Source organism: Homo sapiens, chromosome 12 (assembly GCF_000001405.40).
Source record: "Homo sapiens chromosome 12, GRCh38.p14 Primary Assembly".
NCBI classification, from domain to species: Eukaryota; Metazoa; Chordata; class Mammalia; order Primates; family Hominidae; genus Homo; species Homo sapiens.
In genome coordinates this window covers 27,009,855-27,022,226 of record NC_000012.12, presented here as the reverse complement: position 1 = coordinate 27,022,226, position 12,372 = coordinate 27,009,855, and the positions used below count along the sequence as shown (strand labels likewise).

At 42.0% G+C, this 12,372-nt stretch overlaps 1 protein-coding gene across 12 annotated transcripts in view, besides 1 other annotated feature; it reads left to right on the top strand.

The window, feature by feature from the left end:
- Nucleotides 7,651–8,150: a silencer, noted in NCBI's record as "silent region_4308". NCBI's record gives its function as "represses an Ori minimal core promoter by ATAC-STARR-seq in GM12878 lymphoblastoid cells {active_cell/tissue: GM12878}" and the evidence as "EXISTENCE:reporter gene assay evidence [ECO:0000049][PMID:35858748]".
- TM7SF3 (transmembrane 7 superfamily member 3) overlaps nucleotides 7,843–12,372 on the top strand; it is a 42,806-nt gene continuing 38,276 nt past the window's right edge. For all 12 annotated transcript variants that reach the window (XM_005253391.5, NM_016551.3, XM_047428990.1 and 9 more), the window contains exon 1: nucleotides 7,843–8,149. In XM_005253391.5, the coding sequence (XP_005253448.1) occupies nucleotides 8,059–8,149 (91 nt within the window). In that variant the 5' untranslated portion in view covers nucleotides 7,843–8,058. The remainder of the gene's footprint in view (nucleotides 8,150–12,372) is intronic.

Below are 12,372 nucleotides of genomic sequence, written 5' to 3'. Positions count from 1 at the left end.
GTGTTTATTTATTGACCAAATTGAAGAGTAAATATATTTATTTTTATTTATTTATTTATTTATTTATTTATTTATTTGAGACGGAGTCTCGTTCTGTCGCCCAGGCTGGAGTGCAGTGGTGCGATCTCGGCTCACTGCCAGCTCCGCCTCCCGGGTTCACGCCATTCTCCTGCCTCAGCCTCCGGAGTAGCTGGGACTACAGGCGTCCGCACCACGCCCGGCATTTTTTTTTTTTTTTTGTACTTTTAGTAGAGACGGGGTTTCACCATGTTAGCCAGGATGGTCTCGATCTCCCGACCTCGTGCTCCGCCCGCCTCGGCCTCTCAAAGTGCTGGGATTACAGGCGTGAGCCACCGTGCTCGGCCAAGAAAAATTAGCTGCACAATTTAGATTTAGAGTTGGGACTTATTGAGAGTTTAAGTGTGAAAAGTGATAATCGAAACTTGGTATTTAAGGAAATTTAGCCTGAGGATAGTCTGGTAAGAAATGAGTTTGGAATCGGCAAATAACAGGTTTGTAGACTTCAAAAAACTCTCATATCCTCTTTCTCAGGCTGATTATCCGTGATTACCTTCCTGTGGCTGCGGGGAAGGTGGAAGACACAGTCCCTGGGGAACTCAGCTTGTTGGATTTATCCCAACACTTACTGTGAAGCACCACTTCTGCTTCACACCAATGCCCCACCCTCAGCCCCAAACAGTCTACAGACTTACTGGAGCCTCATTAAGAACGTGGATGAGGCATGTTCCCCATAATGGGACTAATGAGAAATCACTCTGTAATTTGTTTTCACTGTAACTTGGGGGGATTCTACAACCTTCTCCTCCCACCCTCACTTGAGAGTGTACCTTACGGAATGGCTGCCACATGCCAGGAAGTATATCCAGTGCTCAATTTGCAAAGATGAATAAGCCAAGGACTCACTAAGGAAGGTTTTGCAGTTGTCCAAGATTAAGATGAGCTGGGCCTAGAATAGGGTGTTGACCCTGATAAGCGGGGAAAGAAAGACTAAAATATATTTTTGAGAAAAAAAATTAATATGGATTGGTGACTGATTGGATATAGTTTAGTCCACTCCATAAGAATACTAAGTTTTGCAGCCTGATTGAAGGGAACTTGGGCAGTTGAAGTAGAGAAGCCACTTCAAGACATTCATATTGTGACACAGTTTTTGTCCTGCCATTATCTTCCTAATAGGTCTTCTGTGCCTCCACAGAGACCTCAGGTTGATGTCCAACTATCTCTGCCTGGTTTTCAAGATTTACTATAATCTGGCTCCAGCAAACAGACCCAGCCTCACCTCCTGATAATTTTCTGAGTGAAATAATCTGTTTCAGCCAAGGTCCCTGACCCCTTGGTTTTCCTGGTTCTTCAGCCTCTTTCGGCCACGGATCTTTTTAAGAATCAGATAAAAGCTGTGGACCCTTTCCCCAGACCAGACTCTCAACTTAGCCTACATTTGAAAAGGGGTTTAGGAAGCTCTTGAAGCTGTAGACTTCAAGAATAACCCACCTGCCAAATATAGTCTGTGCATCTAGCTCAGGATTTCTCAATGGCTGCACTCTTGACTTTTCAGGCTAGATTATTCTTTGCTGTGGGATGCTGACCTGTGCACTGTAGGATGTTTAGAGCATCCCTGTCCCTTACCCCTGAGATGCCGGTAGCATCCCCCCAATCCATTTATGCCAACATAAAGTATCTCCAGATAGTCCCAAATGTTGCTGGGGGGCAAAATTGCCCCCAATTGAGAACCACTGGTCTAGCTCTTTCCTCATTCTTTACCTTTCCCAAAGCAATTTCTTTCCTGCTATTTAATCCTTACCCTACCTTTTTAAGCTGTACACTTCTCATATAAATTTTATGAATTGCTAGAGTCCATAGGGACCTCTCCTTTCTTCCTTTCATGATTTGGACACTTTCTCATATGCTTTTCCATTTGCTTCTGTTGCATCGCCAACTGGATTATATGGTTTTAGGAGCAGGAACCCAGTATTACAGATCTCATATTTTAAACACACAATTTTGGTGAGTACTTTCTTTGAAACTTTATATTATTAAAAGTTTCAAAGATATAGAAAAGTAGACAGTATAGTGAACCCTCGCATACCCTTTACAGCTTCAGCAGTGAGCCACTCAGTCAATCTTGTAAATGCTTTGGTTTTTATGACTGTAGCAACTATTTTTTAAGAAAAACACCTTTAGCAATTTTTAAATAACTTTAATACTCACAGTTGCAATTTATTAAATATCTAAACTGTTCTTAGTGCCGGGATGAATAACTATAAATAAGCATTTTTCTATACCACACTCTTTGAAATTCCCTAAACATGTTCTGCTGTTTTACAAAAATGCACACCATATAAAAACACCTATAATTATTTCTTCCTTGTATGAAATGCCTACACTTCCATCCACATCTCCACTTTGCTCCCTTGGTGATTGTCCACACAGTACTCAAACCTTATTTTATTATTTATTTATTTATTTGAGACAGAATCTCACTCTGTTACCCAGGCTGGAATGCAGTGGCACGATCTCAGCTCACTGCAACCTCTGCCCCCAGGGTTCTAGTGATTCTCCTACCTCAGCCTCCAGAGTAGCTGGGATTACAGGTGCCCGCCACCACACCTGGGTAAGTTTTTTGTATTTGTGTAGAGACGGGGTTTTGCTATGTTGGCCAGGCTGGTCTTGAACTCCTGACCTCAGGTGATCCACCCGCCTTGGCCTCCCAAAGTGCTAGAATTACAGGCGTCAGCCACTGTGCCCGGCCTATTATTATTTTTTTTACTTGCCACTATACTAGTGAACAAAATCTTATTTTAAACATCTCTTTATAAAAGCCTTTCCTGAATTCTGAAAGTTAAATGCTCCCAATCTTTAACACAATTGTTCCTTACACTTCTGTTATTGCACTTAGCATACTGTGCTGTAATTATTTGTACATCACGCTAATTCACCCACCAGTCCATGGGCTACTTGCAGGCAGAAAACATATTCTGTTTCCATATTTCCAGTACCTAGCACCTAACTTTTAGCCTGGCACATATTTATCAACCAAATGAATGAGTTTCCTAGCATAATAATTTCCATATAATAGCTACTAAACAAGCATTTACTGAATTTAACTTAATGAACAAAGAATGTAAATTACTACCCACAAAAGAGCATAAGAATTAAAAAATACAGGATGAAGGTGAGATTAGAGTGGGAAAGAATGAATGGGCAAATTTCACAGAGGTTCAATCCTGCCTTTTCCCTGGATCCCCACTCCCAGCTCCATTTAAGGTATTTTAGGTTTTATTTAAAAAGCTAGGGTAAGTTTTTTCCCTTCCTCCTTCTCTCCCTCCTGCCCTTCCTTCCTCTTCTAAATTTTAACAGACTTTTGTTTTATTAGATACAGGGTCTTGCTCTGTCACCCAGGCTGGAGTACAGTGGCATAATCATGGCTCGCTGCAAACTCAAACTCCTAGGCTCGAACAATTCTCCAGCCTCAGCCACCTGTGTATCTAGGACTACAGATGTGCCCCACCATGCCCAGCTAATTTTTTTTTCTGGTTGTGTGTGTGTGTGTGTGTATGTGTGTGTGTAAGAATGGGGATCTCACTATGTTGCCTGGGCTGATCTTGAACTCCTGGTCTCCAGAGATCCTCCTGCCTTGGTCTGCTAAAGTACTGGGATTACAGGTATGAGCCACTGCGCCTGGCCTAAACAGACTTTAAGCCTCTAATGATGCATATCTTGGATTTGGGAATCTTTCAGTTTCTGCATTTCCTTTCAATACATAGGAAAAATGAACTAATCTGCAAAGCTGCTAAGCTTGTTTGCTTCTCAGCTCTCCAATGGAACTCTGACATGAGCATGGAACCCCAGCCAATCATCCTCCCAAGCTGTCACAATACTGTACTTAGAAGCCAAGGTAATGAGGCCCTGTTCTGATTGCTGACACATTTGTCATCAACTGTCATGCATGCACAGGCAACTGCAGGCCTGGGGAACTGCGATGCAAAGGTATGGAGGAGAGAGAATAGGCTCAGTTCAGGAAATTGAAATTAATTCAATGTGGCCAGCATGTAGAGGTCTGATTTTAGTTGCAGCAAGAACCTAGGGAGGTGAGCAGGAGTTGCATCACAAAAAGCATTTATGTGTCATACTCAGGAAGGTGGACTTATATCTTGAATGCTTTTATAAGAAAACCTTTAAAATTATATGTATCTTTTACAAAATCATAATTTCTTATTTAAAAATGATACACTTCAATGTAGAACTTTTACACAGAAATGTGCAAAGGAAATCATTCTTAATTTAACCACCTAAAGATAACTATTTTAAACATTTTGGCATATATTTTTCAACCTTTTTTTCTATGTACATAACCAGGAATGCATACTACAAAGAAAACAAGGCAGGCACAGTGGTGTGAGCCTGTAGTAGTCCCAGTTAGTCTGGAGGCTGAGGTGGCAGGATTGCTTGAGTCTGGTGACAGACCAGGAGCACCGTCATCTCGGACAAACACCGCCACTTTAAGTTCCAGCTCCCTTTCTAGCCTCATGCATTTCAAGGAAATCACTTCTCTTCTAACTATAAGCAGCCAGAAAGAGCAGACAGTAAAACACAGATAAGACAGCTCAGGCACAAAGGGAGGTGGGGGGAAATTCTCTTGGGTAACTGCCAAACTTCACCCTCATACAATGGGCCCCAGTAAAACAGTGGGCCTTAGTAAGTACATTCCTTTCCCTTCAGGTGCACTAAGATAGGGAAGCTAAAAGCAGACTCGGGGGTATGCCTGCAGCTGCAAAAAGATGTATGGGAACAGACACACAACTCTCCCTCCCAGATAAGCACAACAGACACAGAAGCAGTCCAAGCCTCTGATAAACTCTCCCACCCTAAATCCTTAAAAACTCTTATTAGTCCGTAAGAGAGTGTGCCTCTAACCTAACTGGCCAGAAGCCCCTTTCAGGTTTGTTTTCTCTAAAATAAACTTGTCCTTGACTTCTAAGCCACCTTTCCTGTTTCTTTCTTCTTTAATTCTTACATCTGGGAGTTTAAGGCCAGCCTGGGTAACATAGTGAGATCTTGTCTCTTAAAAAAAAATTACAGGCCGGGTGTGGTGGCTCACGCCTGTAATCCCAGCACTTCAGGAGGCCGAGGTGGGCAGATCACAAGGTCAGGATTTCCAAACCAGCCTGGCCAACGTGGTGAAACCCCATCTCTACTAAAAAAAAATACAAAAATTAGCCGGGCATGGTGGTGTGTGCCTGTAATCCCAGCTACTTGGGAGGCGGAGGCAGGAGAATTGCTTGAACCCGGGAGGCAGAGGTTGCAGTGAGCCAAGATTGCACCACTGCACTCTAGCCTGGGGGACAGAACAAGACTCCATTTAAAAAAACAAACAAACAACAAAAGTATCCATTCCTCTGAGTCAATAAAAGATGTATGTTAAAAAAAAAAAAAAGCCACGTACTATATATACTTATTGCATCATAACTTGCCTTTTCATAAAGACTTCAATCAGAATATAAATGAAGGGCTGCACAGGATCCTCTTATAAAGCTCTATCATAGGTTATTTAACTCCTAATTGTTGGGCATTTAGGTTGTTTTAGATGTTTCTGCTACTCTAAATAATACTCTATGAATAGTTCTGTACACTATTTTTTTTTAAGAGATGGGGTCTCACTATGTTGCCCAGGCTGGAGGGCAGTGGCTATTCACAGGTGCAATCATACAGCACTGCCCTCTTGAACTCCTGGGCTCAAGTAATCCTCCTGCCTCAGCCCCCTGAGTATCTGGGACTACAGGCGCATACCACTTCCCCCAGCTTATACTAATTTTTATATGTGTATTTAATTATGTACTTAAATCTAAAAGTGGATTATACCAAATCTACAAAAATAAGATTTTTAAACATTTTTGATGCCGATTACTTTATTAAAGTGTATATTCCCAGTATCCCTACCTAAGAATGCCTCCTTCTTAGCTCTTTTATCCACACTGGATGTTTTATACTTTTAAAATGTTTACATCTTAGTTTGTTAATTTGATTTTTTTATTTGTTTACTAGTGAGATTGAACTTTTTTCATGTATTTACTGGTAATTTGTATTTCTTTTTTGGGGTGAAATTCCCCATTCATGTCCTTTGCTAATTTTTTTTTTTTGGTCAACTTGCCTTTTCATATTGTTTGTGTGTTTACTTTAATAAAATTTAAATATTTATGTAAAAAGCATTTACGTAGCCAAGTCTACCAATCTTTTCCTTTATGGTTGTTTCCTTTGCTGTTTTGCTTCTTAGAAAGCTCCTCCCATTTTGAGATCAATTTATTAAAAAAAAAAAAGAGCGCCCTCTTCTGCTAGCTCTTTTATGGTTTTATTACTTTGGGATTTTGTTTTCACAATTAGTGTGAGATAGAGTTCTGCTTCTCTCTGCCCATAGTGCAGCTAATCAGTTAAGAACACAATTTATTGAATAATCCATCCACTGATTCAGATGCTACCCTTATCATAATTGTCCCTTTCATCTTCCTTGGATTTCATCTACTGAGGGTTATAGGAATAGGGGCATGTGGGAGAGTGAATAAGCACTACAGAAATAGATAGTGCTACCAAAGGTGTGAAAATTTGGACCAGGCAGTGGGAAAGCAGAGAAAGAATTGTGCCTATGACAAAGATTATTTGCTTGGCCAAACTCTAGTACGGCTTCTGAATCTTCTGCTAGGTCCATCTGTGCACTTCTTTGTAAAAATCCAGTTTTAGCAAAGAACCCCCTTTCCTCCATATCTAATCAGTTTTCTCACCCTGCACCATCCCCCAGGTGATGTTATGTCTTCAGAAGTCCTGTTAGGTCAGTTTCACCAAATGCCCCTTACCTCTGATGCTTCCTCTTAGTAATTTTCCATCCACTGAACTCCATACTGCTGGTTGGCTATAAATTCCCTCTTGCCCACGCTGTATTCGGAGTTGAGCCCAGTCCCTCTTCCCCACTGCAAGACCCAGTTGCAGTGGTCCCTATGCCAATTGAGACAGTCCTCAATAGTCTTCGTTCGGTGCTTTAACAAGTATCATTGAATAATTTTGTCTTTAACACTTCTTCACATTATGGTCACAGCTATATATTGTTAGCTTAGTAGTGGACTAACTGAACATGTAATTTCCAAGCTATAAGTTGCTCATCAAAATATATAAGTGAAAAAAATTAAAACCAGGGAAGGAAAGCAAGACAATCCTCCCCAAATAACGTTAAGTCTATGCGTCTAATTCCACATCATCGATGAGCCATCTGTCACATGGACTACTGTCCCTCAAACAGCACTCAGGTATGAGACTTGAGACGAAGTTCAGACCAAGGCCGTGTCTTCGAGGATATTTCGCTTAGAGAAAACGAAACTACTTTTAAATGTAGTGCTTATGACTAGTGCGGTAACCACTACACAAACAGCATTCTCCTGGCATTTTTATGCTAACATAAGCCTCAGCAGCGAAGACAATTGCTACCGGGGGAAATAACCTTCAATTGTGTTTTTAGCAACTGATTCCTCTTTTTTGCTGTTGTAAAGGGCCGTTAAACACGGAAACAGGAGCCTGGCGACGTTAGTCCGCAACAGAAAGTTATTTTGTACTTTCACAGTGGGTTTGCCTACTTGGTGAGATAAAAGTGGGGCAAGACCGGGCCTCAAGCCAGGACTTCCTGGGGGCTCCCGGGAGCACCGCAGGCTGCGCGTTCCCCGCGCGCCGGCAGGAGGCGCGCGCTGCCTGGAAACGCCCCAGCGCCGCCCGCGCCCAGAGACCCGCCGCTGTGACGCAGCGAGAGCCCGGGAGGAGGCGCGGGAACGCGCGTTGGGGGTCAGGTGCCGGAAGAGGAAACCTCTCGCTGGGGCTAGGAGTTCGGCGGGGCGCGCGCCGGCGGCTGCGGAGCTGGCAGGTGCGAAGCGTCTGCACCTGGCGGGCGATGGCGCCCGATGCGGGCGCCCCGGGATAGCGTGGGCGAGGCTGCGGGGCCCCGGCGCGCACGCCCGCACCTCTCCCCAGCCCTGGCGTGGGCCCAGCCCGGCCCAGGCAGCAATGGGGTTCCTGCAGCTGCTGGTCGTAGCGGTGCTGGCATCCGAACACCGGGTGGCTGGTGCAGCCGAGGTCTTCGGGAATTCCAGCGAGGGTAAGGTCGGGGCGCCTGGCTTCTGCAACCCAAAGTTGCTTTTGCATTTCTTGCGAGGTCAAAATCCGCCAGGGGTCTGTCAGCCTAGCAGGGAGATGGTGCTGGGGGCGTTGGTACACGCTGGGTGGTGAGTCCAGAACCGGCACGAATGGTGTTTCCTGCAGCGGAAACACTCATGGCTAAGGAGGTCTTACTATTAACCTCCTCATTTAGCGGAGGAAATGGGAAGAGATAAATAATTCTCTTTTTTTAACACAGTATTATCTCCCTTAGGGAGCAGCCATGTTTGTGGCTTTAATTCAACTTACTAAAGCGCCTCTTTGCTGCCCAGTGGACTGTCTGAGCTTCTGGACAGCAAGACTTGGGGTGGAACTAGCGGCTTAATGACTGATGGCTCTCAAGCTGCATGGAATTTTTACACCCCCAAATCTAGAGGCTTTTCAAACTGGTTATGTTCTACAGAGTTTGAGAGGGAAAATGAACCCATAATGAGGCTTTATTTTTAAAGAGCCTTTACCATCTAATTTATTAATACCATCTGGAGACAGGAAAACATTCCATACTCACAATGAGAAATAAAGGACTTTCTGAATTACAGATACATAGACATACAGATAGAATGTGTATACCCTCAATTCTACAAGTTCAGCCACAAATGAAAAATAAACACAGAAACACAAAAGCTTGCCAGTCCAGGTATCAGAGTTGTTCTCCTTACTTGAGGGCAAGAAATTTCTAATCGATTTGACCTTAAAAAAGACAAATGGACAAAAACTGTGTTCTCTGTTGTCTCATATCCAACAGGAAATAGATCTCTATGAGATATTAATTCGTTTACAGAGATCACAAAATTCCCAATCATTGCAGCTACCAACAGGAAATAACTTGTCATCCATAAATGAACTGTAAAAAATAACAATTTAATAGAGAGTAAAACTAAAATGAGAAAAACAAGAATCAACGAAGTTCTATTGCCACTTCAAATTCACCTGTGGGAGCCAAGAAGCAACATGCCCGGGCTTGGCTCCCTATGAGTACACCATTTTTGATGATTTCAGGTGACTTTTTTTTTTTTTTTTTTTGACGGAGTCTCGCTCTGTCGCCTAGGCTGGAGTGCAGTGGCATGATCTTGGCTGACTGCAACCTCCGACACCCGGGTTCAAGCAATTCTCCTGCCTCAGCCTCCAGAGTAGCTGGGATTACAGGCGCCCGCCACCACACCCAGCTAGTTTTTGTATTTTTAGTACAGGCGGGGTTTCACCATGTTGTTCAGGCTGGTCTCGAACTCCTGACCTCGTGATCTGCCCGCCTTGGCCTCCCAGAGTGCTGGGATTACAGGCATGAGCCACCGCGCCCGGCCGATTTCAGGTAATTCTTGTTCATCTCAGTGAGAACTCAGAATGGGATGTTAGATTGTAAGTCTTGTGCTTGGTGAATGGGTTTGGGCAACAGCTCATGGTTTGTTAATATAAAATGTAAAAGGCACTAGTTGTGCCAGGCAGATCATCATGTGCTTTTCCATGAAACTAAGCACATTCTGTTTTGTTTTGAGGTTAATAGACTAGTTGCAGTTCTGAAACATAATATTTTCTGAATAATGTGATTGTGTTGCTATGCACTTATCTTTGAAAAGCCCTTGTGCAAACTGAATTCTAGGATCTTTGTATATAGGACTGAGGCCAAAGCTGAAAAGGGCAACTTTTTTTTTTGCAGAAAAACCTTGCTTATAATAGGGCACTAACATTCACTCTGTATAGTGTGTGCCAGGTGCTTTCCACGTGCAGTGTTATTTAATCCCCACCACCCTACAATGTAATGATCTTCCTCCCTTGTCAGAGGAACAAATGAACAGCTGCTAGGGTTACAGATAGGACTTGAACCCAGGTGAGTCTCCCTGCAAATTTCATAGTCCTTCCACTTCCGTAAAGCTGTCTTCCAATAAGAATATCTTACATGGCATGGTGCTTTGTACTTAATCCTTCTGTGAATCCTCATTCTTCAAAATAGCCTTATGATGGAGGTAGAAGAGATGCTATCTCTATTTTAACAGGTGAAGAATTTGAGATATTAGAGTTTTTAGTTGATCGAGGCCAGCCCCTGAGTCAGGAGAGCAGGCGTCCAGAACTTTTTCTTTCTACTTGGTGTTAGTATTTAATACCTAGAAATTTTTATACAAAAGTTAAAAAATATGAATAAATTGAGAAATTAATTTTTTTCAGACACTGCTTTTTGCCTCTTTGCTATGATTATAGCACTGATATTCCTCAATGTTATTCTTTTTGCCTTGCATTGGTATTGTCATTCTGTGCAGAAGAGGGACAATGTGGGGACTTAACTGCTGAGTGATAATAAAAGCTGATATTCTCCACATCTATCAGCTAAAAATCAGTATAGAAAGGTAGAAGGACATAGTTCAGGACTTGCATAATCCTCCTAGAAAATGGCTGGATTGATGTTTGATGATGATAATTCTGATAACCATACAAACTGAAGAAATTGAGCATCTGCTGTAATTTAGGAGGATTTACCCATCTTTGGCAGGATGAGCTAACTTGCATGACTTCTGTAGTGGCCTGAATGCTAAATAAATCTTGGAACGTGGCAGATGGAGTTCCTAGAATGTCTGAGGAGGGTGCTTTCTGTGACCAGTAGGCACATGAGATGGATCATACTTTTAAGCAGTTTTCCCTTCTCTTGGAGTCCCAGTTCACTGCTGCCTTTAACATCTTTCATTTGTTTAGATTCATATCCAGTAACTCCCGTGGAATTTCATAGTAATTGGACTTGAGCACAGCATCATTTGGGCCTTTCAGTCTTCTTGCTATTGATGATGCTTTACCAAGGTAGCAGGCTGTTCATGGTTAGTTGCAAGTGCTGTCTTTCTCTAAAAAGTGTGTGAAGCTAATATGTTCATTTTTGTGTTCCCTTTCAACCTTTAGGGCTATTGAACATTTGTAAGAAGATAACAATGAGAAATTGGGAGGGGCGGTTGACTGCTGACCAACTCAAGTAGCTGAACCATTTTTGTTTTTAATGTGAAGAGAATTATGAAGACTAGGCTATGATGGATTTCTCTTAGAATTTGGTTGTTGTGTTGAAACACAAACAGTAGAAGTAAATTTTAGTAAAATAGTAAAAAGGAAGAGTTGGAAATTTTTATGGTTGCCAGATTAGGATCTGATTCGGAAAGAAAAAGGAAAGTATTAGGATTGGGCAGCTCTTTTTAAAGTGGAATTATTGGAAAGAAAAAGTGATTCTGGGTAAGAATGGAAGATGGGTGTGAAAAATTGTTTCAAGTCCCTACTATAGGTCAGATGGCAAAAAAAGCCATTTCTTTTTAGAGGAAAGCTAATGTAAGTGCCCCAACTTGATGTTAGCCATTTGCTTTGTAATATCTTTTGATGTGCTGTCTTTTTTCCTCCTACTCTGCAAGTCATAAGATATAATTATGCCTCATAAAATGCTTCTAATAAATCCTTTTCCATATGCCTTAGAGGTGAAGTTAAATTCCTGTTAGCTTCTTCAGGATATTTTTTGAGTATGTGTCTTCTTTTGCTAAATCTGTTTTTATGAGCAGAAATTAAATGAGTTTCTACCAGACTGAGCTGTTTAAGTTGTCTTGACTTTCAGTATCTTTTGTTGTCACTCTTCGGAAGTCTCTTTCTCAACGTAATGCTTATGATGTGCCTGGAATTTCTGTGAATGCCCTGTACATGTTAGTTCCTTTCTTCCCACTAATTTTTTCGTAGGGCTGCTCTGAGTGCCTGATTGTCTTTCTTTCTTTCTTTTCTTTCAATAAGGAGATGAATGTGTGAAGCACAGGAAAGCTAATGGAAATTAATAAATGATGCTTTATTGTGTAGCCTTGGGCAGTTTAAAAGTTGTTTCCCATTTGTTTGATACTTTCAGCAGCCAACTGATGGCAGCACAGTTACCTCAATTTTACTTTGAGGGAACTGAAGCCCAGAGGAAGTACATTACTTGCCTGAGGTCACATAGTTCAGGCATCATTTAACAAACATTTACTGTATGCCAGTTAGGTGACTATACTGTGTTAGACGTTGGAACATCAAAAATGACAAAATCCTGCACAGCCAGGAATCAAACCACAACTGGTTTGGTTAAAGCAATCTTCTGAAAAAAATTGTACAATGGATGTTAGATTGCCAGGGTTACACTGCCAAAGTATTTTCACACAGATGTTAGGTTAGAGATAACTAAGA